At 41.5% G+C, this 25,667-nt stretch overlaps 1 long non-coding RNA gene across 6 annotated transcripts in view, besides 2 other annotated features; it reads left to right on the top strand.

The window, feature by feature from the left end:
- Positions 16,664–17,175: an enhancer, noted in NCBI's record as "H3K4me1 hESC enhancer chr6:125766345-125766856 (GRCh37/hg19 assembly coordinates)". NCBI's record gives its function as "activates a minimal SCP1, AML or CMV promoter by ChIP-STARR-seq in naive H9 embryonic stem cells {active_cell/tissue: H9 hESC(naive)}" and the evidence as "EXISTENCE:reporter gene assay evidence [ECO:0000049][PMID:30033119]".
- Positions 17,176–17,689: an enhancer, noted in NCBI's record as "H3K4me1 hESC enhancer chr6:125765831-125766344 (GRCh37/hg19 assembly coordinates)". NCBI's record gives its function as "activates a minimal SCP1, AML or CMV promoter by ChIP-STARR-seq in naive H9 embryonic stem cells {active_cell/tissue: H9 hESC(naive)}" and the evidence as "EXISTENCE:reporter gene assay evidence [ECO:0000049][PMID:30033119]".
- Positions 17,195–25,667, top strand: part of LOC102723341 (uncharacterized) — a 75,143-nt gene continuing 66,670 nt past the window's right edge. For 5 of the 6 annotated variants that reach the window (NR_187740.1, NR_187738.1, NR_187743.1 and 2 more), the window contains exon 1: positions 17,195–17,352. This is a non-coding gene — a long non-coding RNA (uncharacterized LOC102723341). Of the gene's footprint in view, positions 17,353–24,157; positions 24,295–25,667 lie in introns of all 6 variants that reach the window. The other variant, NR_187739.1, reaches the window with a different exon arrangement.

The following is a 25,667-nucleotide window of genomic DNA, read 5'->3' as shown; positions in this document are numbered from 1 at the left end:
AATCTCCCCCAAATTACTGTCAGACACTGCTTTGGTTTGAATGTCTGATCCCTCCACAAGTTATGTTGAAATTTAATTGCCAATATAATGGTATTGACAGGTAGGACCTTTATTTGGTGTTAGGCCATGAGGGCTCCACCTTCATGGGAGGGTTTAACATCTTAATAAAAGGAATTTTGCCAGAGGGCTTTCTCTCTTGGCTCTTCTGCCCTTCTGCTATGTGAGGAACAGTGTTTTTTCTTCCAGAAGATGCAGGGTTTAAGGTACCATCTTAGGAGTAGAGACCAGGCCCTCAACAGATGTAAAACCTGCTGGCACTTTGATAATGGACTTCCTCACCTCCACAACTGTGAACCAATAAATTTCTGTTTATTATAAATCGCCAAGTCTGTAGTATGCTGTTCCAGCATCACCGACTAAGATGGACATTAAACCACAGATCCAGGAAGCTCAGAGAACAACAAGCAGGATAAATGCCAAAAGACCTACACATAAACATACCATATTCAAATGGCAGAAAATCAAAGATAGAGAAAAAACTTGAAAGAAGCCAGAGGTGGGGAAAAATACCTACTTATTGAGGAGCAAAGATAAGAATTACATCCTATACAAGCAAGAAATAAATCATGCAAACAAGAAAACAATGGAGTGAAATATTTAAAGTGTTCAGAGAAAAAATCCACCAACCTAGAATTCTGCTATCTTGTAAAATTATCTTTCAAAAGGAAAAGAGAAATAAATACCTTCTCAGACAAACACTGAGGGAATTTGTTGCCAGTAGTTCTGTCTCAAAAAACAATATTAAAAAAATTATTTATGGAAAAATAAATTAATATAGGTCAGAAAGTCACAACTATATAAAGAAAGGAATAAAGAATAATTATAAACAGTAGAAAAGAAATAAGTGAAGGGAAAAATCTTTTATTTTTCTTAATTGATCTAATAGATAATATTTTGTTCAAAATCATAGCAGCAATGTATTCAGTTATGTATGCTTATGTATAAGTGAAATAAATGACAGCAATGATATAAATGACTAGAGGGAAGAATTAGGAATATTTTGTTAGTATAAGGTACTTGTAACACCCATGAAGTGGCATGTTATTTAAAGTGGATCTGAATTAATTGTAAATGTTGATTGCAAACTTTAGGGCAGCCATTAAAACCAGGAAAAAAAGAGAAAATTACAGTTAAGGCAAAAGACCCAGAATAGCCCCCCACAAATTGAACATGACATTGAAGAACAAAGTCAGAGGACTGACACTACCCGACTTTAAGAATTATTATAAAGCTACAGTAATCAAGAAAGTGTGGTATTAGGAAAAGAATAAATGAATAGGTCAAGGAACAGACGAGAGAGCTTAGAAATAAACTCATATAAATATAGTCAACTAATCTTTGACAAAGATCAGTTTGCCCTTTGAAGCAAAGTCAATATGATGGAGCCAAGATAGTCTTTTCAAAATGATGCTGGAACAACTGGATATCTATATGCAATAAAATGAAGACTAGACACAGATTTTACATCTTTCACAAAATTAGCTTAAAATTTATTATAAACCTAAGTGTAAAATGGAAAACTATAAATCTCCTAGAAGATACTGTAGGAGAAAATCTAGATGAACTTGGGCATGGTGATGACCTTTTAGATACAACACCAGTGGCATAATCCACTAAAGAAATAATCAATAAGCTTAACTTTATTGAAATTTAAAACTGCTCTGTTAAAGACTCTGTTAAGAGACTAAAAAGACAGGCCACAGCTCTGTTAAGAGCTTCCTGGATCTGTGGTTTAATGTCCATCTTAGTCGGTGATGCTGGAACAGCATACTACAGACTTGGTGATTTATAATAAACAGAAAAAGACAGAATTTTAGATTCTGTTAAGAATCTAAAAATATTCTGAAAATATTTGCAGAAGACATATTTGAATAAGGGACTTTCCAAAATATACAAAGAACATCTAAAATTTACAATTTAAAAAAATGAAAAACCTGATTTAAAAATAGGAAAGGATTTGAACAGACAACTCAGCAAGGATGTATACAGATGGTAAATAAGCATATGGAAAATTGCTCCACATAATATGTTATTGGAGAAATTTAAAATGACAAGGAGACATTAGAATGGCCAAAATCCAGAACACTGATGATATGGTTTGGATCTGTGTCCCCACCCAAATCTCTTGTTGAATTGTAATCCCCAATGCTGGAGGTGGGCCCTGGTGGGAGGCAATTGGATCATGAGGGTAGTTTCTCATGGTTTAACACCATTCCCCCTAGGTGCCATATAGTGTGCAACTTCTCATGAGATCTGGTTATTTAAAAGTGTGTAGCACCTCCCCACCTCACTCTCACTCCTGCTCTGGCCAAGTAAGATAAGCCTGCTTTCCCTTTGCCATCTTCCATGATTGTAAGTTTCCTGAGGCCGTCCCAGAAGCCAAGCAGATGCCAGCATCATGCTTCCTGTACAGCCTGCAGAACGGTGAGCCAATTAAACTTCTTTTCTGTCTGAATTACCCAGACTCAAGTATTTCTTTAGAGTGGTGCAGGAACAGACTAATACAACTGACAATACCAAATACTGGTAAGAATGTGGAAAAAGAGGAATTTCATTCATTGCTACTAGGAACGCAAAATAGTACTGCTACTTTGGAACACAATTTGGTAGTTGATACAGTTTGGCTGTGTCCCCATCCAAATCTCAACTTGAATTGTATCTCCCAGAATTCTCATGTGTTGTGGGAGGGACCCAGGGGGACGTAATTGAATCATGGGGGCTGGTCTTTCCCATGCTATTCTCCTGATAGTGAATAAGTCTCATGAGATCTGATGGGTTTATCAGGGGTTTCCACTTTTTCTTCTTCCTCCTTTTCTCTTGCTGCCACCATATAAGAAGTGCCTTTTGCCTCCTGCCATGATTCTAAGGCCTTCCCAGCCATGTGGAACTGAACTGTAAGTCCAATTAAAACTCTTTTTCTTCCTAGTTTTGGGTATGTCTTTATAGCAGCATGAAAACAGACTAATAGAGTAAATTGATGCCAGTAGAGCAGGGAGTTGCTGAAAAGATAAACAAAAATGTGGAAGCAACTTTGGAACTGGGCAACAGGAAGAGGTTGGGAGAGTTTGGAGGGCTCAGAAGACAGGAAAATGTGAGAAAGTTTGGAACCCCTAGAGACTCGTTAAATGGCTTTGACAAAAATGCTGATAGTGATATGGACAATAAGGTCCAGGCTGAGGTGGTCTCAGGTGTAGATGAGGAACTTGTTGGGAACTGGAGCAAAGGGGACTCTTGTTATGTTTCAGCAAAGAGAGTGGCAGCATTTTGCCCCTGCCCTAGAAATTTGTGGAACTTTGAACTTGAGACAGATGATTTAGGGTACCTGGCAGAAGAAACTTCTAAGCAGCAAAGCATTCAAAAGGTGATGTGGGTGCTGTTAAAAGCATTCCATTTTAAAAGGGAAACAGAGCATAAAAGTTCAGAAAGTGAGCAGCCTAATGATGCAGTAGAAAAGAAAATCCCATTTTTTGAGGAAAAATTCAAGCTGGCTGCAGAAATTTGCATAAGTAACAAGGAGCCTAATGTTAATCCCCAGGACCATGGGGAAAATGTCTCCAGGCCATGTCAGAGACCTTCATGGCAGCCCCTCCCATCACAGGCCTGGAGGCCCAGGAGGAAAAAGTGGTTCCGTGGGCTGGGCCCAGGGTCCCCATGTTGTGGGACCATTTGGCTTGGGGCTTGGAGGTTTGGGAACCTCCATCTAGATTTCAGAAGATGTATGGAAATGCCTGGATGCCCAGGCAAAAGTTTGCTGCAGGGGTGGGGCCCTCATGGAGAACCTCTGCTAGGGCAGTTCAGAAGGGTAATGTGGGATTGGAGCCCATACACAGAGTCCCTACTGGGGCCCTGCCTAGTGGAGCTGTGAGAAGAGGGCCATCATCCTCCAGATCCCAGAATGGTAGATCCACCTACAGCTTGCACCATATGCCTGGAAAGCAGCAGATACTCAACACCAGCCCATGAAAGAAGCCAGGAGGGAGGCTGTACCCTGCAAAGTCACAGGTGTGGAGCTGCTCAAGACCATGGGAACCCACCACTTGCATCAGCATGACCTGGATGTGAGACCTGAAGTCAAAGGAGATCATTTTGGAGCTTTAAAATTTGACTGCCCTGCTGGATTTTGGACTTGCATGGGGCCTGTAGCCCCTTTGTTTTGGCCAACTTTTTCCATTTGGAATGGCTGTATTCACCCAATACCTGTACCCTTGCTGTATCTAGGAAGTAACTAACTTGCTTTTGATTTTACAGGCTTATAGGTGAAAGGGACTAGCCTTGTCTCAGACAAGACTTTGGACTGTGGACTTTTGGGTTGATGCTGAAATTAGTTAAGACTTTGCGGGACTGTTGGGAAGGCATGATTGGCTTTGGTATGTGAGGACATAAGATTTGGAGGGGCCAGGGGTGGAATGATGTGATTCAGCTGTGCCCCCACCCAAATCTCAACTTGAATTGTGTCTCCCAGAATTCCCATGTGTTGTGGGAGGGACCCAGGGAGAGATAATTGAATCATGGGGGCTGGTATTTCCCTTGCTATTCTCATGATAGTGAATAAGTCTCAAGAGATCTAATGAGTTTATCACGGGTTTCTGCTTTTTCTTCTTCATTATTCTCTTGCCACTACCATGTAAGAAGTGCTTTCACCTCCTGCCATGATTCTGAGGCCTCCCCAGCCATGTGAAACTGTTAGTCCAATTAAACCTCTTTTTGTTCCCAGTGTTGGGTATGTCTTTATCAGCAGTGTGAAAACATACTAATATGGTAGTTATAAACATGCTCTTACCATATAATATAGCAATTGTGCTTCTTGGTATTTATCCAAAGGAGTTGAAACTTATGCCCATACAAAAACCCTCACATGGATGCTTGTGGCCCCTTTATTCATAATTGCCAAAACTTGGAAGCAACTAATATGTCCTTCAGTAGGCAAATGGATAAATCAAGTGTAGTTCATCCAAACAATGGAATATTATTACATTAGAAGTCCTGAAAACTGTGCATCCATTATTAGATAATTCATATGTACAAAATAATATATAATGTAAATATGGAGTATATGGTATTCTGTTTTAAATGCCACATCTTAAGTGTGGGGTATAGACCAACTAATGAGTATTATGTATAAAAATAATATTTAATAATTTTTGAATGTTTGATAACATGCCCAGTATCATGCTAGGCATTTTACCTACATTCTCTCACTTAACCTTCCTAGTCACTTATGAGATGGGCATTATAATTATCCTCTAGTTTACACATGAAGAGATCAGGTCCCTGAAAAGTTAAGTAACTTACAAATAGCCATCTAACTAATAAGAGATGGAGCCAAGAATCAAATCCAGGCAGACAGACCTCAAGGCTTGCTCCCTTATCACTTCCCTATGGAACTTAGAATGGTGTTCTCTGAAGATCAGATGAAGAAATAGGAAGTGATTAACTTGAGGACAAACTGACTTGAGGACGATGATAGCTGTATCCAAAGACTGAAAGACCTCCCAGGTGAAAAAGGATTACACTTGGGCCCAAAGAATGATGTATGAAAGCCATACAAAAGCAAATTTCACCAAAGTAAAAAAGATTATTTCCTAACAAACAGGGTGGCAAAATAAGAAATGCACAATCTGATGTAAGTTCTTTACTTTTATTTTATTTTTTTACCTTTTGGGTCAGTGAGATAGGGTCTATGGACTAGATGAACTTCCTTTCGATTCTGAGGTTCTAGGACCTGTTCTCATCTTTGTCAAACTTATCCAAATAGTCTTGCTTTTGCTAGATGGAATACATAGTACATCTTACTGTCTTCTCATAAAACTAGAACCTTATGACTACTAGGGTTTCTCATACCATTGTGTAAGAATTGGCATTTCTATTTGGTGAACTACTTGAGGACACGAGCTCTGCCTTATCTGTCTTTTCTTCAGCATTTTCATGCTAAACATATAGAATGATTTTAGTAACCTATTAGAACTGAATTTTAGCTTCTTTTTAAAGAAGTTCTTTTCTAACACCTATGGTTGCTCTCAATCACCAACATGCTAAGGGAGAGCATCTGTCACAGGCATAGAACCTGTGGTGTTTATTTCATGGAAATATAATGAGAAGAAAATGAGAAAATTTGAGAACTACGTAAAAAGGGAAAATCACCATGACCACGTAAGGACTGGTATAGTCGTAGCTATTAAATATTTCCCCAAAACATCAACTCGCTGTAGTTCTATAAACAAATGGGCATAATTCTGTGCCAACACCACAGAACTTCTTCAAGGAATTGAAGAAAATGCTAATTACCAGCAGTCCAATTCTTTTTTTTTTTTTTTTTGAGACAGACTCTTGCTGTGTCACCCAGGCTGGAGTGCAGTGGTGTCATCTCCGCTCACTGCAAGCTCCACCTCCCAGGTTCATGCCATTCTTCTGCCTCAGCTTCCTGAGTAGCTGGGACTACAGGTGCCCACCACCACGCCTGGCTGATTTTTTTTTGTATTTTTAGTAGAGACGGGGTTTCAGTGTGTTAGCCAGGATGGTCTTGATCTCTTGACCTCGTGATCTGCCCACCTCGGCCTCCCAAAGTGCTGGGATTACAGGCATGAGACTCCATGCCTGGCCATCAGCAGTCCAATTCTTTCAATCGAAAGCTTCTTGTTGGCACAGAAGATTCAACAAAGAAGGTTTGCCATATTAGCGCTTATATTCCTGATGGTGGCTGTGTTATATTCGTTGCTCTTGGTGTATTTTTCACATGGGGCCTAAAACAGAACAATTTTATCTCATATTTTAAGGCATGGAATGTAAGCAAATCAATAGTAATTGAACCATCCACCAATTATACTAGCTACCAGTTAGTTGCAGAATTTAATCATTTAATTAAAGTACCTATTTTCAGGTGACTGAATATGTGGTTGAGCAACACATTTACTGTAATTTTCACTGCTGAACGTTTGTTGCTATTGCAACATGGTTGCTAACATCCACTTGGAAGATGACTACAAGTTGACTCTCTGGATGGAGGAAAAGGGGGTTGCTGAATGTCATGAAATCCATTTTATATCCACAGATATTTCTCTACAGAAATTGTTTTTGTGTGAAAATGGTAACCTTGACTTTAGTACTTAGTATCTCACAGAAACATTTTATCTTCACCCCATGGATTTACATGGCAGTTGTATAACTGAGTTGCCCAAATTGCTGAATTTGTGTAAAGCTGTGTTGAATGTACTTCTCTTCAGAATTAAGAAGTAGAGTATGCAAAAAAAAAAAAAAGAATTATAGTATGCAGTGCTTTTGCATCTTGGAAACTAGTGTTTCATAAAACACTCTATTTCTATTACACATATTCTCACATGCAACATAAAGTCCAGAGGACGATGGGGCTTCAGGGCCAGTTGATGTTTTGGGGAAATATTTAATAGCTATGACTATACCAGTCCTTAACGTGACTCAGAAAGATCACCTGAGACCAAGGGTTTTCCCATATCTTCACTCTGATATCCACAGCATTGGCAACATCATGAGGCTGGCTTTCCTCGAGGTCATAAGTTGCCCATCAGTAGCAACTGGGGCCAATATGTTCCCATTTGTACTCAGCAGGAATAAGAGAAACTTGGTTCTATTTCCCATAAAGTTTCAGTAAGCCTCATCTGGTGTTTCACTGGCTCAAACTGACTTAGATTTGCCCATCCCCAAATGAATCACTGGCAAGGGGATGGGATAACAAGACTGGTCAGCCAGTATGCTCTATACATGCTTTGGAAACAGAGGACTTCATTCATTATTTTTCAATCTTTCATCTCTTTCCAAGGATATTTACAGAGAACTGTGCTCCAGGCACAGTAAGTCTGTCCCTCCACCCACCTCAGAAACCTCACCGTCTGGCAGGAAAGGAAGATAACACTGCACCATAATTAGTATGCAAAAGTCAGTGCAGGGTCCAGATAAGGAGGGTCTAATGAGGACCTCATAGTGTCACAGGATCCTTGGGGTGTCGCTTTTTCTGCCAGACACCTCTGTGGCCCCTGTGCCTTTGCCTGAGTTTTGCTTGGGACCACTGGGCTCATTCTGCCCACTTGGCCTGGTAGGCTGTGCTCGGCTCATGCTACTGGCTTGGATCCCATGCTTGTTAAGGGCGAGCCATATGCAGAGTGGCAAGGGGTATGTGAGTGAGTAAGTGTGGGGTCTGCCCACTGCACACAGCCAGGCACACCAGATGTGGCAAGACAGGCAACTCCAGGTGCCAACCTGGGCACCAGTTCCCTGTGAGGCTGCGGCTGGACCAGGTGTACAAAAAGCAGCTTCCACATTGGCTCCAGGGAATGCAGTGGCACCCAGAATCTTGGAGATGGCAGGAACTGCAAAGCCCCAAAGAGGGTGTAACTGCCCTGGCCTAGGGAGCTCTTAAGTCTGGGCTCCCCAAAGGGCTGTATTTTTCTCTTCTATCCTTCTCATCACTCGCAGCATGGCAAGCAAGGGGCATGTTTCAGCCCTGTTTGTGTTACAGCTCTTTCAACTCTACCATTTGGCAGGTCCTGAGTTCTTGTCCCGTGTCCAGGAAGAATGAGGTACACAGACAAATGGAAGGTGAGGAAGGCGAAGGGGTGTTTTATTAAGTGACAAAACAGCCCAGAAGAGACACAAAGTGGGTAGCTCCTCCCTGCAGGCAGGTCGGCTCAGTGAAGTGTCCATTTCTCAGCAGAGAGGAGACCCCCCCCAGTGGGTAGCTTCTCTCTGCAGGGAGGTTGTCCCATTGTCTGCCTGAGTCTGGCTGAGTCTAGGGTTTTTATGGGCTTCAGAGGGGAGTAAGTGTGTGCTGATTGATCCATAGGCAGCCATGGGCAGGCCTGGAAATATCACCATAAGTTCTCACTCCATTCCACAGAACTGACAGCCTGGCCTCCAGGCCTCAGGCCATCCCTGGCCTGAAGGTGGGGTTCCACTGGGTACTCACCCCTTTCTGCACAGGAGCCTGTCTGCCTCCTGACTCTGTTATCCTGTCATCCATGTCCATGGTGTCATGATGCTCAGGCTGTTCATGGTGAGGGGTGCCTGCAGGCCCTTGCTGAACCACCCTTAGCTCCCCCTTGGCCTCTCTCCAGTGCTCATCAGCACCCAAAGTCTGGAAGGGGCTGAAGTGGCGAGGGGATGGCATGTTAGCATTGCCCTGAACTTGTGCACACCCAACTGGGTTGTGATAGTGCCCAGGCTCAGCCACAACTTCTCTCCAAAATCAGAGCAGGCACCAGGAGTGGGGAGTGATGAGGCAGTGGGAGCAGGCACTTTTGAGCCTGCAGGGGCAGGGGGCTTCCCAGGCCCCCAAGAATGCAGAGATGCCTGGGTCAGCAGCCTTGGCTGGGTGGCTGCAGCTGTGTCTGGGAGGGCGAGGCTCCTGCCACTCCAACTTGGGAGGGAGTGGGGCTTCCTTTTGTTCCCAGCTCATGCTGGCTTCATAGGTCCAGATGTGCTACCACTGCCATCAATAGGGAGGGGTCCCTAACTCTGCCTGGAAGAGAGGAGCAAATGGGACAGTCTTTCAAGTAGAAGTTATATTTTGGCTGTCTTGGGGAAAACACACAATTAGATGAAAGGAGATAAAAAGAGAAGATATTGAGAAAAAACACTATGGGAGTAGGATTAAGAGTAGATAATGCAGGCCAGGCGTGGTGGCTCACGCCTGTAACCCCAGCACTTTGGGAGCCTGGATCATGAGGTAAGGAGTTCAAGACCAGCCTGTCCAAGATGGTAAAACTCCATCTCTACTAAAAATACAAAAAATTAGCCAGTGTGGTGGGGGGCACCTGTAATCCCAGCTACTCAGGAGCCTGAGGCAGAGAATTGCTTGAACCCAGGAGGCAGAGGTTGCAGTGAGCCAAGATCGCCCACTGCACTCCAGCCTGGGCAACAGAGCGAGACTCAGTCTCAAAAAAAAAAAAAAAAAAGAAAAAAAGAAAAAAAAGAAACAATAACAACAATAACAACAGCAGCAAACACCACATGTTCTCACTTATAGTTTTGAATTGAACAATGAGAACACATGGACACAGGGCGGGGAACATCACACACCAGGGCCTGTCTGGGGGTGGGGGATTGAGGGAGGGATAGCATTAGGAGAAATTCCTAATGTAAATGATGAGTTGATGGGTGCAGCAAACCAACGTGGCACACATATACCTGTGTAACAAACCTGCACGTTGTGCACATGTACCCTAGAACTTAAAGTTTAATAATAAAAAAATAAAAAGAGTAGATAATGCAGTGCTGAGGAGACCACAAAGGCAGACTATTTCAAGAAAAAAGTGCAGTGACTAATGCAGCAGAAGGGTAAATGAGAAGAATGGCAGTGACAACTCATCAAATGTCTAGCACAGTAAATTTAAACCTCTCAACAGAGGACGAGACAGAGGCTCAAGTAATTTCCCCAAGATGAGCAAGGAATTACATCAGGATTTGAGCCCAGGGATGGCTGGCTCCACAAAGCACTCTTAAAATATTACTCTGCCTTCTAGTGAGAATGAGGATTGAAAATGGTGAGTGCATTTTGAAAATAGGAAATGCAGTGTCATTAAAGGAGGTTAAAAGCAGAGGAAGTAGAGAAGACATTACTGCAGACAACTGGGTTGAGGATCTAGAACAGTGATGAAGAGAGGAAGCCATGGCTCAATGACACTAGCTTTGTTGCCATTCTATCTTTCACTAATATGTAAAGTTTCCTTAGCAGTTGTTTATGAGGGTCTTTTTTCTTTTCTCATGCAAGTTTCACACTTTCTCTGCAACTCTTCAGCTAATGCCAGACCTGCTTATTTCTTCTTTAATGATATCTTGTTCAGACAGTCTGTCCTTGCTCTAACCACAAGCAACCTTACGTTCATACACTTACTTGTCAAGCATTTGCTCCTTGTTTCACCCTATGGACATTTTGAGAGACAGTCAACAAACTAGCAGGGGACATTAGTCACTGAACCCAGTAGGTGAGGCTTCCAGTCCAGTAGATTACAATTCTGGCTGTACACTTAAATCAGCCAGGAGCCGTTTTAAGAAATGTAGATTCCGGATTACCACTCCAGACCTCCTAAATGGGAATCTCTGGGGATTGAACCCAGGTAGCCCTATTTTTTCTTCAAGTTGCCCAGGCGAGCCCATGCAGCCAGCCTAACACTTGTCCAGAGCCCGATATTGGGATCTACAGCTCTAGCTTCTAAGCCACTCTTCTATTATTTAGACTCTGCTGCGTTCTGGGTTTTGAGAGCAAAGCAGCATCACCCTTGATGGTGGGTATTTTATTACTGTATCTCTCTTGCTTGCAGAGTTGTCTTCTGTGGTTTGGGGACATTTTGGGAAATTATCCTAGGTTGACCTTGCATTTACCACAATTTTAAAATCACATCATAATTATATCCTATCTGTCTCCTATACTTCCCTTGTCTGGAGCCCAAATCTCCTGTCACTAAGTCGTTCACTATTTTGTCTTAACCCAAAAAGGGGCACTGTTCTATACTGGCCTATTCTTAGGGTTGTTTAAAGCCAAAGTCAGGCATTCTTGCCTTTATTCCCTTAATTTTTTACCATCTTTTTTGTGTTCCATTTCCACATTCTTGGCCCCACTGGGTGTCATGGCCTACTCTTTGTCAGTAAATTCATCTTTTCTTCAGTTGAACTAGCTGTTGCCTATATCACATGTATTGGGATACAGGCTGGGGTCTAAAGGTATAAGAATGAACACTGAGGCTGGGCACAGTGGCTCATGCCCATAATCCCAATCCTTTGAGAGGCCGAGGTGAGTGGGTCACGAGGCCAGGAGTTTGAGACCAGCCTTACCAACACGATGAAACCCCGTCTCTACTAAAAATACAAAAATTAGCCTGACGTGGTGGCATGTGCCTGTAATCCCAGCTACTCAGGAGGCTGAGGCAGGAGAATCACTTGTACCGGGCAGGCAGAGGCTGCAGTGAGCCTAGATTGCACGACTGCACTCCAGCCTGGTGAACAACAACAACAAAAAAGAGTGAACACTGAGATGGTAGAATGCTAGTAGGTGAGGATGGGAAGCAAAATTACCATATGCCCCTAGGGAGCCTGGAACTTTTCATCACTTTCTAATGAGAGTTCCTAGTTCATGAAAACAAGGCATTGAGAGTGAAGGATTGGGTGTCTCCGTATAAGTCTCCAGGGTGGGGAGTCAGAGCCTTTGATGGTTTCCTAGGGAGGCAGGGAAGCTGACCTGGGAACTTGGAAGCCTTTGCTGTCATTGGCATTTCTGGGGAACGGAGTCTGGACTGAAGTCTGTGACTTCTGGAGCTCTAAAAGGGCATGAAACAACAAGAACAGGGAGTTCTAGAAAACCCAAATTCCAATTCCCTGTGAATGGAGTACTGGGTGAGCTTAGCATTTGTGAACATATTGTGTGTTGAGAGGGTATGATGGTGGGTAGGGCCAGGGTCTGAGAGAAACAAGAGAAAGGATGAAAGTAAAGGGATAGACATCTTATGGAGGAGTCAGCAGGGCACAGGAGGAGCCAGGAAGACCCGAGGACTCAGAGGATCTTTCATTCTTGAACTCTCTAGTCAGTGCTTAGTGCTCATGAAAAAGATGGTTGATTAGACCTTGTTCAGTTATGCTACTACTAATTCCTAATTCAGAATTTCTTTTTCAATAATCATGATTTCTATCTGCCTTTTTTAAGTTTCAGGAGAATCTTACATAAGCCATTTTTAGGGGAAAAAAACCTATAAAACAGGGGTCCCGAACCCCTGGGCCACAGCAGAGCACTGTTAGGAACTGGGCCACACAGCAGGAGGTGAGCAAGCATTATTGCCTGAGCTCCACCTCTTGCCAGATCAGCGGCAGCATTCGTTTCTCATAGGAGTGGGAACCCTATTGTGAGCTAATCTAGCACACAATAATTGTGAGCTAATCTAGCACACAATAATTGTGAGCTAATCTAGCACACAATAATTGTGAGCTGGGCATGTGAGGGATCTAGGTTGTGCATGCCTTATGAGAATCTAATGATAAATGTAATGCATTTGAATCAACCCCAAACCATCCTCCCCTCCCCCGTCCATGGAAAAAATGCCTTCCATGAAACTGGTCCTGGGTGCCAAAAAGGTTGGAGAACACTGCTATAGAACATTTATTTGCCTTTTCCACGTTTGCATTTTATCTATTATTTCTTTATGGAAACTCCTTGGTGACAATTTCACAGCAAATGTCATGTTGCTTTATTTTCACTTCTTCTGCAATTATTTTTTCACCCTCCTGACTTAATAGAATACTAATTTCACTGTAGAAATGTTTAGTGTTAATTCAACCAAAAGAATATTAATAAAAAGTGATGGTATTTACTTGATAATGGAGAATGATTATCATGTGCTAGATCAGCATTTATACACAGTACATTCTTTAAAAATGTATTCCCAAACTTCTACCTCCAAACTCATGGAACCAGAGTGCTGAAATGATTCTTGGCTTCAGCATGTCAGTTGTCCAAAAGTCAAATAAAATGTGATTGAAAAGCAGAAATTAACTATCTAAAATGAAAATGTTTCCACTTTTCTGTTGATAAAATGCTTTAATTCCTTCAAGTCGACAGGGACAGGGAATTCCTATATCCCTTACTATAATGTTTCTAATTTGTAAGAACACTGCAGTAAGGCCCTCACCAGATGCCAGCCCCTCAGTCTCGGACTTCCCAGCCTCCAGGACTGTGAGAAAATTTATTTTCTTTATTAATTCTGTTATGTATTCTTTATGTATTGTGTTATAGCAGCACAGAAAGGATGAAGACATGAGGCTTTGAATCAATTTGGCAGTTGTAGGAACAGAAGAGGAAATAAATTCAGTAGTCTTTTCAAATGCTTTGGAAAAGACTTCATATAAGGTAGTATTGAGCTAAAAAAATGATTCCATGACTAGGGCATGAGAAAGAGTAGGACAATTACAAATTGTTTTGTTTTATTCAGGTTTGAATTGAGATAATGATACAATTATAAAATCCTACCTACCCTTCAAGGTATAGCTCAAATTCTGTCTCCCTCTCAAGCTACCTATGGTTACCTCAGCCATGGGTGATTTCACCCTTATATAGCCCAGTTCCAGGAAACATTCAAGCTCCTAAGCTCCTGTTCTACAGCACACTGCCTTGTAGTATCTCTACAAGTTGATGTGCTTTCCCTCCTCCACTAAAGTATAAGTACCTCAGGGCTGGTTATGTCCTGGCTTAGGGTTGAGTAGTGGTTAAAACATGAGATCTGGAGTCAGATTATCTGGACTTGTATTCCAGAAAACCCCTTAATAGATTTATGTCCTTGGTAAGTTGGCCAATCCAAGTCTCACTTTTCTCACCTATAAGTTGAAATAATCTAATAATAACCATCATACCTACTTCATAGTGTGGGATTGTGAGGAATAAAGTAAGAAATGCATATAAAGCACTTACTATAGGGATTAGTAGTCACTCGGTGAATCTTCCCTATGAATATTACTCTTTGTAAATCCAACAGTACTTAACACCATGTACTGAAATAATGAATGCCCAAGCAAACACTTCTTGAATAAATTGGATACATAAATGAATTAGTGTCACCAAGGCTCCTCAGAGACTGTTACATGGGACAAGACTCGGGGTATCGAGGACAAAGGATGGAATCTGGGATGGCCAGAGGTCATAGCTCTTAAATTCCCAGTTTTAAAATGACTTCCTACCATGTAATGATCCTGCAGATTTTATTTGGTTTCCTTTCTTTTAGGTTTTACTATGTCCCAAAGTCATCTTGAGCCTTTTGGGAATCGAGAAGGCCATCCCAGAGTTTTTTTTTTTTTTTTTTTTTCACAAAGCTTTGTTTTGAGAAATATATTATACATTTCCATCTTAATCATTTGAGAGGATCTCTGTATCCATTCATCTGTTCATGCATACTGTACTTCCTGTGGATTGCCAGGGGGACATTATAGGTCTAATATATGTATATGTATGTGTGTGTATATATATATGCTTTATTTGCCAAAGCCATAACTTAAAGTTTTCCAAAGATGATTTCTCATTATTATAAGAGATTAGTATCCTTGCATTCATTAAAAAGTTTTTTTTTTGTGGAGTTTTACTTATAAGTTTGAAAGAGTATTGTCTTCTACATCAGAACCTAAGTATGTTGTATGTGTTTCGTATAAATAGCCTTTGAAGCTTCCTAATCTCCAGCCTGATCTCAAGTTCAGAACTGAGGTATCTCAGTGAGAAGAGCAGAGAGGGGCTTAGGAAAAAAGCTCAGGAGTTTCTTACAACTTATTCAATAGTCTAAGAAGTACTTGGTGTCTGCAGTGTGTTTTTGTAAAATACCTGTGACCTTTGCAGTACAGAAAAGTTGAGGTGTGCCCTTACCCTTATTTTTTCTTATTTTTCCATCAAAACAATGACAAGCAATTGGTAAGGGAATTTGCACAAACCAGGCATGTGATGCGCTCACTTGGTGATGTCATGGAGCTGCATATGACCAAATGAATGACCAGGGACAGCAAAGTGGGAGAGCTATAATCTATTCCTTTAGCAACCCCCCAGAAGCAGAATCAGCAAGCTCTGAAGAGCTTCATGGAGCCCTGCTGTACAGGTGATGAGCTTGCTGAGAATGAATTGGAATTTAAAAGGAGAAACAATAGGTGAGCAACTCAGAGACTTCCCAGTGGCCTAAGACAAGTTGGAGGAATTAGCAAGTAGGAGTGTGATGGGAAACAAGTCCCAAAAGGAAACATGAACAGCTTGAGACAGTGGCTGCAGCTCCATGGTAGCATATATCCTCCATACTCTTCACCTGAGAAATGTTTAGAATGCATCTTAAGGGGGAAACTAAACATACTTTTAATGCTCTTGGCTGAAAACAGCAAAAGCAAATACTGTAACTTTTCTCTTAATTGTTGGACAAAGGAGGGACGTGGTTCCATTATGTCTGTCATGGCCCTCTGTTTGGCATTGTGGTAATTTGCTAGGATCTGTGTCTCTATGTGAGGGACACCACATACCACCCCGGTTCCCACCAAAGTCAGCGGTCTGTTTCCTCTTTGTCTTCCTTCTGAACTGCCACTGTGTGCTTCTACCTCCCCAAATGTGCTGTCTTGCATTATTCAACTAAAAAGATACTTTAGCAGCATGAGCATCCTCAGATGTGGTTCCTTCAAATAGCATCCTACCAGCAACTAAACAGTAACCGGCAGCCATCAGCCTCTGATGAACAAGACAGCTGAGAGAGGCAAGACTGCTTCAGGCTTAAAGAAGCGACAATAAGGACATGTGCAGATTCCACAAGAACACACACTGAATTTAATAAAGGCTTGGTGCTACAAAAAGCCATGTAAGGGGATGATGCTGGAGTTCTTTTGTTTCCCTCCTGAATTTTCTTGTATAGGTTTGTCTTTAGATGCCATGGTCCGGAATCTGCACTCCCAGATGATAATGAGTCAGTTCATCTTAGACTGTGCTGCCTGTTGGTAACTAAGAGCTGGGGCTGGTCAGCTAAAGGGCTTGTTAGGGTACTGCTCAAATGAAGCCAAAATTATGAGCTCTAACACATGGGATTGTTAGGTTCAGTGTCCGCCAGCCATCCCCCAAAATGCCTGGGTTTAGTCATAAGGGGCATCAGTTTAGAAGCAGTGATGAAGCATCCATGCTGCGGTGCTTGGAGATGAGCCTTAAAATCCACACTTCCCCGGCGGTAGCTAAAGGACTTCATTACAAATCAGTAGTAGTTTTACATATAGATTGTAAGAGGAGGGAATATCTGAACGCATCCAGAGGCTTCACACAGAAGGGGATATCTGAACTGGCTTTGGTAAAAAGCAAATTAACATTTTTGTCTTATGGAGATTGAAGCAAAGCATAAGCCCAAAGAACGAAGCATAAAATTCAAGAGCACATTCAGGTTTGTCACAGTGGGTGGAGGAGTGGGGCGGGAGGAAGGAGAGGGAAGGCACACTTAGTTGAGGTGAGCTGTCAGGCGGGCTGGCTGTTCAGAGGTGGGTGCCCTGTGTGGGGAGGCTCTTTGATTCCTGGGGAGGAAGGCTAGAGAACAGGCAGCTCTTTTCTCTCTGCTAGAAAAGAGGAGGCGGCTCCTCACAAGGTTCCTTCCCACAGCTGAGCACTGCCCACAGCTGCCCTTGCCCCTGCCTTTCCACGTTGCACAAGCCCAGCGCACGGTACCCACTGGATATGCCCGAGGCCTCCAGAGGAAAGGAAAGGAGGAAAAGGGACAGAAGAAATGTTCACAGGAACTGCATATGGGCCTGCTACTTGTGTCAAAATGTGACTGAACTCTCTTCCAGCAGGTATATTGAGTGAAAGGGTTGTTGTGTGGGAGGTCGTGTGTGGAAGAGAAGGGAGGAAAAGAAGAGTGAAGGCTCCATATGGTCATCAGCGAATGGCAGCTTTTCACTGTGCTTGCCTGTGCAAATCTGGTTTCCTGTCCTTGACCCTAAATTGCTTTATCCTGTCAGGAGGCAGCTGGTTCAGTAAACTCCTGTGCTGCTCAGCAGCCACCCAGGGGTGGGGGTGGGGAGACGGGGGCAGGAGGTGGCCGCCCTGACTCCAATTTCGTCTGCCTCTGGGTTAGCAGAGGCAGCTAGAGGTCCTGTGAAAAACGTCTGGGTGGCCTCTGTTGGCCGTCCTCCAGTAGGAACTGTTCACAGGCCTGTTCTCAGGCGGCCTCGTTCCAGAAGGTCTAACTGGGAACACAAAATGCATTGCATTTTTTTTTCCACCAACCTCAAAGAGGTCCTTTTATGGACAGACCCGTGCCTGCCTCCTTTTTTAAAAAATTCCCATTGAGAAGCTGACCTCCCTTGACCTGGGCAAGGCGACAGGTGACCCCTCAGAGAGTGGGAGGCTGTCAAAGCAGCTCTGTCTCTGGGGTCTCGGCAGAACTGAAGACAAATGAAGCTTTCAGCCTGAAAGGACAGGCGTTGCCTTGGGACATGCCATTGAATTTGATGATGTGGCCGTGGTGCAGGTCTCCCCGCCTCACAAAGAAGCAGTGGCTGGTCCATAACCTTTGAAAACTCACGGGGTTTTGCATGATGATGTTAGCAAACAGGAAAGCTGGATGAGTGCCTTACTTTTAGGAAAAGTTCCTTGGGTTTTTATCCACATCTACTTGGATGTATTCGGCTTAAATGCTTCCTCTCAGTGCTGTCTCCTCTGCAGATAGTTGTGGAGCAGAGTTTCCAAGTTAGGGCAGGACTCTGTATCAGCGACTGGATGAGACATGATGCAGTAGGTTAAAGGAATTTTTCTTAAACATTGTGGTGTCTGGGATTTTTCAAACCTCAAAGAAAGCATTAATTTGATATTATCAATTTATTAAACCATAATTGAGCGTAATTACATGAAGTGAAATGAAATTGAAAATGGACTCCAGCCACCACTCAAATGTCAGCAACTTGATTTACAGATCCTGTTTTAAGGAATGAGTAACCAGACATAGATCTATATAACTGAAAGCCAAAAGTTTTTGTTATTTTTGGTGCAAATGAATTTGAGTTGTTATAATGGATTTCTTTAGCTGTGTGTTTAGACCTCCATATTTATCTTACGTTTGGAGTAATTTTTTTTAAAAAGGAGCCTACCAAAATGCTGGGATTCTTTTTCTACTGTTAGGAGATTTGAAATAGATGAATCACTTTTGCTCTTTGGTTTTTCTTTTTTTTTTTGGTCTTGGATTTATTTTAGCATTACTTATTTATATATCTTTATTAGTTTAATATGGATTTAGAACTCATACAATGTCTTGCAGTAAATTAACCATTCAAATTTGGTGTTGCAAAGCCAGAAGAAGACACAGTATTTGCCATAAGTGATCTATAAGGCCTAGAGAAAAAAATGGAAATGGTACCACACACACAGCTCAAACAGACTGTAGGATTTAGGCATGTATTAGTTCACTTGATCCAAGAAGCTGACATAGCAAGTATCATGACTTTGGGACTTAGAGCTAACCCAGACCTAGTTGTAGTGGAGTCAAGCTTCAAACCCAGGTGCTTTGACTCCTCCCCTTGTACTCTTTTAGCCATAGGTGGGAAGCCTGGAGAAAACCATCATCAATGTAAAGATAACTCACCAAGTTCTTACAGTGCTTGCATATAAAGAACTGACTCCTGAGTGGCTGAACCTTGAGTGATTGGTTGGCCCTAGGTCAAACACTAATGCTCTGTTTCTCTCAGCGTCTGCATCTGTGAAGTGGGGTTATTCAAAACAAGTTATTTCATGACTCTTCCCCAGGGATAGCATAATAAATGATAGTCATTTACATAGAGATCATTCTTTACTGTACAAAATTTCTTTTACACACAAAAGAGCTTTGAAAGGAAAAAGACTGTAAAAATGCAAATTCTCTTCTTAGAACTTCGGTTTCCCCAACAGCGAAAGAAGTGGCTCATACCTACCTCTAATATTTAATGGGAATTTGGAAAGTCACTCAATGTCACTTGGAGAGTCTTTTCTGGGCTTAAGAGATGTTTACTCAAAAAAATGTATTGAGCATCTATTATCTGAGAAGCATAGTATTCGGTACAGGGAAGCAAACCTGGATCCCACCCCTCAAAGACCTTATAGTCTAGTGGAGAAACAGACATTAATAATAACATAAGGTCTATTGTAACAAGTGCTAGAAAAACTGAGACAGCCACAAGCTCAAGGCAGCCAGAGAAAACTGTACCAGGAAAGCAGTGAAAACTCAATGGAGTGGAGATGGAGAGAAAAGACTAGAGATGCAAAAGATATTTTTGAGGTGGATAAGACTCTCACTGGGCAATCAGTGTGTGAAAGTGGGACTTTTGGTCTTTGTTTCTGTGTCCCCAGCGTGAAGCACATACTGGGGACACAGAAGAGGCTCAGTAGCAATGGTAAGAATTGACTCCATGGAGAGAGAGCGAGACAAACTTGCAAATTATAGGCATTTGAGAAGGATGTTTCTTTATTTGGGTTTAAAATCTAAGAATTAATATTTACCATTGGTATATGTGAAAATGAATGTGTGTGTGTGTGTATACGTGTGTGTGAAAGAGAGAGGGAGGAGGGGAGAGAACCATCCAACAGACATCCATTAAGCCTCTGGAAAGTTAAGAAGCATTAGTATGACCCACACTGATATGGAGATCTAAAGGGGTCGGCATGTGGCTTGCTCCTATGCTGGTGTGTCCTACAGAAACCCCAAAGGCATTATTATAAGACTAGGTAATTCAGGCTTGGGGAATCAGGGAGGGAACTTGATTCCGAAGAGAGGATAGGGGTTTACAAAAAGGAGATGATGTACTGGAGAATGGATGTACTCTACAAGAACTGTGAGCCTAAGAGTAGAGGAATAAAGCAAAGATGGGAGCACTCAGCAAGGAACCTTGTAAAGGATCTAATTCCTACCGAGCTCTCCCTTTGGATGCATTCAGGCTTGATTTTGTCTTTTCTAAGCTGAAATTTCCTTTAGAAATCTCAGGATTTCAGCTCTTCTTTAGCACCTTGTTTGTTTCTTCCAGGACACTTATTACCAATTGTCATTATTTTGTTTATGTTTTGTTATTTGTTTTTAACTTTCTCCCCAAATAGACTATAAGTTCCAAGAAAGATTTTTTTTACCACCCTATCCCTAAAATCTAACTTAGTAGACATTTGTTAAATATTTATTGACAGTGAAGACTAAATTTCACTCTCCTGTTTCTTCTGTTTTCTGTGGGTGATATTTATATCATTCAAATGTTTACTGAGGGCATAAGTACCATATGGACTATGTCCTGAATGGGCACAGGAATACAGAGATGTGCATACAGTCATGTGTCACTTAACAACAGGAATATATTCTGAGAAATACATCCTTAGGCAATTTTGTCATGGTGCAAACACCATAGAATGTGTTTACACAAACCTAGACAGTATAGTCTACTACACACCTAGGCCATATGCAATAGCCTATTGCTCCTGGGCTACAGATCAATTCATGTGAGTGTACCGAATACTATAGGCAATTGAAACACAGTGGTAAGTATTTGTGTATCTAAACATAGAAAAGGTCCAGTGAAAATATATTATAGTCTTATGGAACCACTGTAGTATATGCAGTCTGTTATTGATTGAAACGTTACACAGTGCATGACTATGCATGGTTTTTGGATTAAATGAAGGCTCAAGAAGACAGACAGAAAAGCAGATAAACAAGAGTGCAGTGCACAGATAGAGGAGGTCCATCTTGGTCAGGATGAGTTAAGGAAGGTTTTACAGAAAAGAAAATATTGAAGCTGGACCTTGAAAGCACCATAGGTAAGTGCAAGGTGGAACACAGAGGAGGAATCACACAGGCACAACCCGATGAGCTGTGCTTGGAGCCTGATGGTTGGAACATGAGATGAGCATAGAAGCTTGGTGGGAAGTGAGGTAAAATAGATGGAAAATAAAGAATTTTCCTGCCATAATAAAGACTCTGGGGTTTAACTCTTGTGGATAAAGTATATTTGAAGAAGTTTATGCACGTAGGGAGATGCGATTAGTTTTCGCAATTAGAAGGTCATTGCAATTGCCCAGACAAGAAACAGTAAGGGCCTGAACTAAGGCAATGGACAGACATGAACCATTTTAGCATATTTTTAGGAATAAATACCCATATAATTTTGCAGCTCAATATCTTAAGGTTCAGTTGCAGGGAACAAAATCTACTATTCTGGCTAGATTAAGCAGAAAGAATTTTTTTTTTAAAAGAGTATACATGGCTAAAAGAATGTTTGGAAGGGCTAAACAATCAGATCCTGGGCTGAATTTCTAGAAATAATTCCCAACGTTACACAACAGAACTTGGCTGCCAAGGGAGTCGCTTCTCTTGTTGTGAGCATAAAAACCAATTGATCAATTGGGAAGTTGCTGGAACAACCAAGTTGTCTGTTGTAAGGTACACCAGCAAAGTGGATGCCTTGTTTCCTACTTTTATCCTTTCTAAGCTCAGTTCTGAACCAAGCCTCATATAAATATGTCTGGTTAGTGGAATCTAAATCATAAAAAAATCTAGCTTCAAAGGCATCTGGGAAACGTCATTGTTTAATTTGCAGGTTTTTTTGAGTACAAGAAGACACAGTAGAAAGAGATTTGAATAGATATTGAGCATGCAAATAGCCACCAATATATCCACTATAGAGACAGTTAAATGTTGGGGGTAAGAGTGAAGGTTTAAGGATGATTTTCTGGCTCAATTCAGGTGACTGGGATACCAATAACTGAGCAAGGAAATAGAGGAAGGAGAAAGGCAGCTTTGGCTTTGGTTTCAGATATGCTTGGTTTAAGATGCCAGCAGGTCACACAGGTGGAGATTCCCAGCAGGCAGTTGGATAGACATTTAGCAGAAGTCAAAAATTTGGAGATCTTTTCTTAGACAATAGATAGAGTTAGGAAATAAACTAGATAATCCAAATAGATCATCATAGTAAAATGAAAGAGGGTCGATGATGATACCTATAGAACACCAATGTTGGATTATAGTGTTAAGAAGCAGTCCACAGTATATATTTTGGAATGATGTAATGGGGGAAAAATCAAGAAAGTGCTATTTGCTATTCTGACACCAAGGCATGAGAAAATGGCAGAAACAATGTCAAATGCTGCAAAGATGTCACATAAGGACTAGAAAAATGTCACTAGAAGATGACAATAATAAAGATGCTTGTAACCAATTAGAGAAATAACTCTGTTGGTGGAATGGCAGGTAGAGAAATCATTCAGTGAATTGTGGGGCAATTTGACAATGAAGAAGTGGAGACAAGAGCTAAAGAAGCCAAATTTAAGGAGTTTGACTATGAAAGGCATGGGAGCAATAAGGCCGAAGATGAGAAAACTGAGGAATGAAATTTCTTTTCTTTTTTCCTTTTTTCTTTCTTTCTTTTTTTTTTTTTTTTGAGATGAAGTCTCACTTTGTTGCCCGAGCTGGAGTGCAGTGGTGTGAACTCGGCTCACTGCAACCTCCACCTCTTGGGTTCAAGTGATTCTCCTGCCTCAGCTGCCAAATGATTCTCCTGCCTCAGCTGCCCAAGTAGCTGGGATTACAGGTGCATGCTGCCAAGCCCGGCTAATTTTTGTATTTTTACTGAGATGGGGTTTCACCATGTTGGCCAGGCTGGTCTGAACTCCTAATCTCAAGTGATCCACACGGCTCGGCCTTCCAAAGTGCTGGGATTACAGGCATGAGGCGCCGTGCCCAGCCAGAAAATAATTTTTAAGATGAGAGAAATTTAAGCAGGTTTACAGGCTAAAAAGAAGAATCCAGAAGAGAAGGGAACATTGAGGATGCAGAACAGAAGGGACTCTATGGAGCAAAAATCTAGGAGAGACAGTGTAGTAGACAGAAGAGTATGAAGATGTCCATGTCCTAGTCCCCAGAACCTGAGAATATGCTACCTTCCATGGTACAGGGGACTTCGCATGTGTGATTAAGTTAAAGATTTTGCCATGAAGAGATTTTCCTGGATTAGTTGGATTGGCCCAATGTAATCACAATCTTATAAAATAAAATTAAAAATGAAGCCCCCAGAAGGAGTTTGCCCTGCCAACACCTTGACTTCAGCCAAGGCAAACTGATTTTGGACCTCTACCTCCAGAATGGTTAGAGAATAAATTTGTATTGTTTTAGGACCCCCAATTTGTGGTAATTTGTTATAGCAACAATAAGAAACTAACATAGGCAGGAATCACTGAATCAAAAACAAATGTAGGCATTAGCTCTAAGAAGGTGGGAGAAAAAGTATCCTTCACAGAAAAAGGAAGAAAGAAAGTAAGGATAGGATGGGATGAAGATGTCTTTGTACATACGTAGCACTTGTGTATGGGTGTGTGTTCTACAAAAAGCAGAGCAAGGTTGGAGGCAGGAAAGATGAGTTTCTTGAAGGATGTTGGAGACACGTAATAATGATTTCTCTATTTTCTCAATAAGACAGTAAGTAAGGCTATTTTCTGAAAGTAAGAGAACAGTATGCAATTGCAATATTAATAGAGTTCTGCAAATCATACCTTGTCATTAAGTATTGGGTAAAAGGTTTTTGTTGTTGTTGTTGTTGTTGTTGTTTTTGTTTGTTTGTTTGTTTTGAGACAGACTCTCTCTTTGTCACCCAGGCTGGAGTGCAGTGGTGCGATCTCAGCTCATTGCAACCTATGCCTCCCGGGTTCAAACGATGCGTAGTATGGCAGCAATTAAGATGGAAGTAATGAGGAAAAGGAATACTTATCAATGGAGATTAGAGAGAGCCAAGGTAGGAAGATTTTTAAGAAGAATTTGACGTAACAGACGAATATTAAAACAAATAATAATAATACCTCTAATCCTTTGCATTTGACCAGTTCTCTTTGGCAGTTCTCAGTAGCTACAGAAAAGGTGAATTGCATGATTGAGATAGGATTTAAGGCATGTTGATGGCAGACAGTGAGTAATCTGGAGATCTGGTGTGCTGGTAAAATAGTTGAGTGATGTACAATGGGGTATAGTCTAGTTAAAAAGAAATTGATTAAGAGAGGACTGATAGAGAAAAAGAAGGGTCATGGGAAATGAAGTTTCAATAAAATAGGGAGTAGCTGTGTACCAATCATATGAAAGTGAAATAGGTGGATATGAAGGATGTCGTGAGGTTAGTCAGAGTATTCCAAGATAAAGAGCACTGAGTTACATGGAAGACATTGGTGGGGCTTACTCAACAGTGAGGCTTCTCATCTAATCTTTTTTTTTTTTTCCTTTCTAGCAGAAATTCAATTTTGCTCAGGTACCCTTTTCTTTGTTCAGGTAATCAGCAAGGTTGATTCCTTCCTCAGCCCTAGGGGTCAAATCATGATTGGCTAAGCCAATGGTCTCAAATTTTAGTGTACACTGGAATCACCTGGAGGGCTTCTTGAAACGCAAATTGCTGGGCTCCCTCCTGGCATTTCTCACTCACTTGGTCTTGAGTGAGGCTTGAGAATTTGCAGTTTTAACAAGTTTCTAGGTGATGCTAACGCTGCTAGTCTAGAAGTGGCACTTTAAGAATGACTGGTATAAGCCAACCATGGTGATCTAATCCCCCTCGTTAGTTTAGGCATGGCCATGTGACTAAACCCTAGCCAATGATAACCTAGGGGAAGTCTCCTGTTGAGGTTCCTAGACATGTTTTCCATCTAATATATGGAGACATGAAAGGAAAGAAGTCTTCTTCTTCAGTGAACATGTTTACTTATGAGGTCCCTGGAAGAGCTCCAGCCATTGTAGCCATGAGGACAGGAATTGCCAAAACCCTGAGGATGATGAATACATACTTAGATGGTTTTTACCCCCATACTTAACAACCTCTTTGTGCTACTGACCCACTCTGGAATCACACTTCCTCTGGGCTTGTACTATGTGAGATAATAGATCATCAATGCTTAATCTCCTTTTAGTTGGATTATCTGTTTCATGGAGCTGAGTGTATTTCATTGATACGAATATAATTTTATCTACCTGATAAGCAAATAATTCAAAGGACTAGAGTATCCATTGGCTGATAATGATGTGGGAGAAAATTTGTTGCCAGAGAGAATAATAATCTTTTAAATATGTAATCTGGAGGTATTTATTAAACTTAAAAATACATAAACATTTTAGTGTAAAAATCTTTCT

The sequence above is a fragment of the Homo sapiens genome, chromosome 6 (assembly GCF_000001405.40).
Source record: "Homo sapiens chromosome 6, GRCh38.p14 Primary Assembly".
Taxonomy (NCBI): Eukaryota; Metazoa; Chordata; class Mammalia; order Primates; family Hominidae; genus Homo; species Homo sapiens.
The sequence above is the reverse complement of the archived record's forward strand: the minus strand, read 5'-3'. Positions and strand labels throughout refer to the sequence as shown.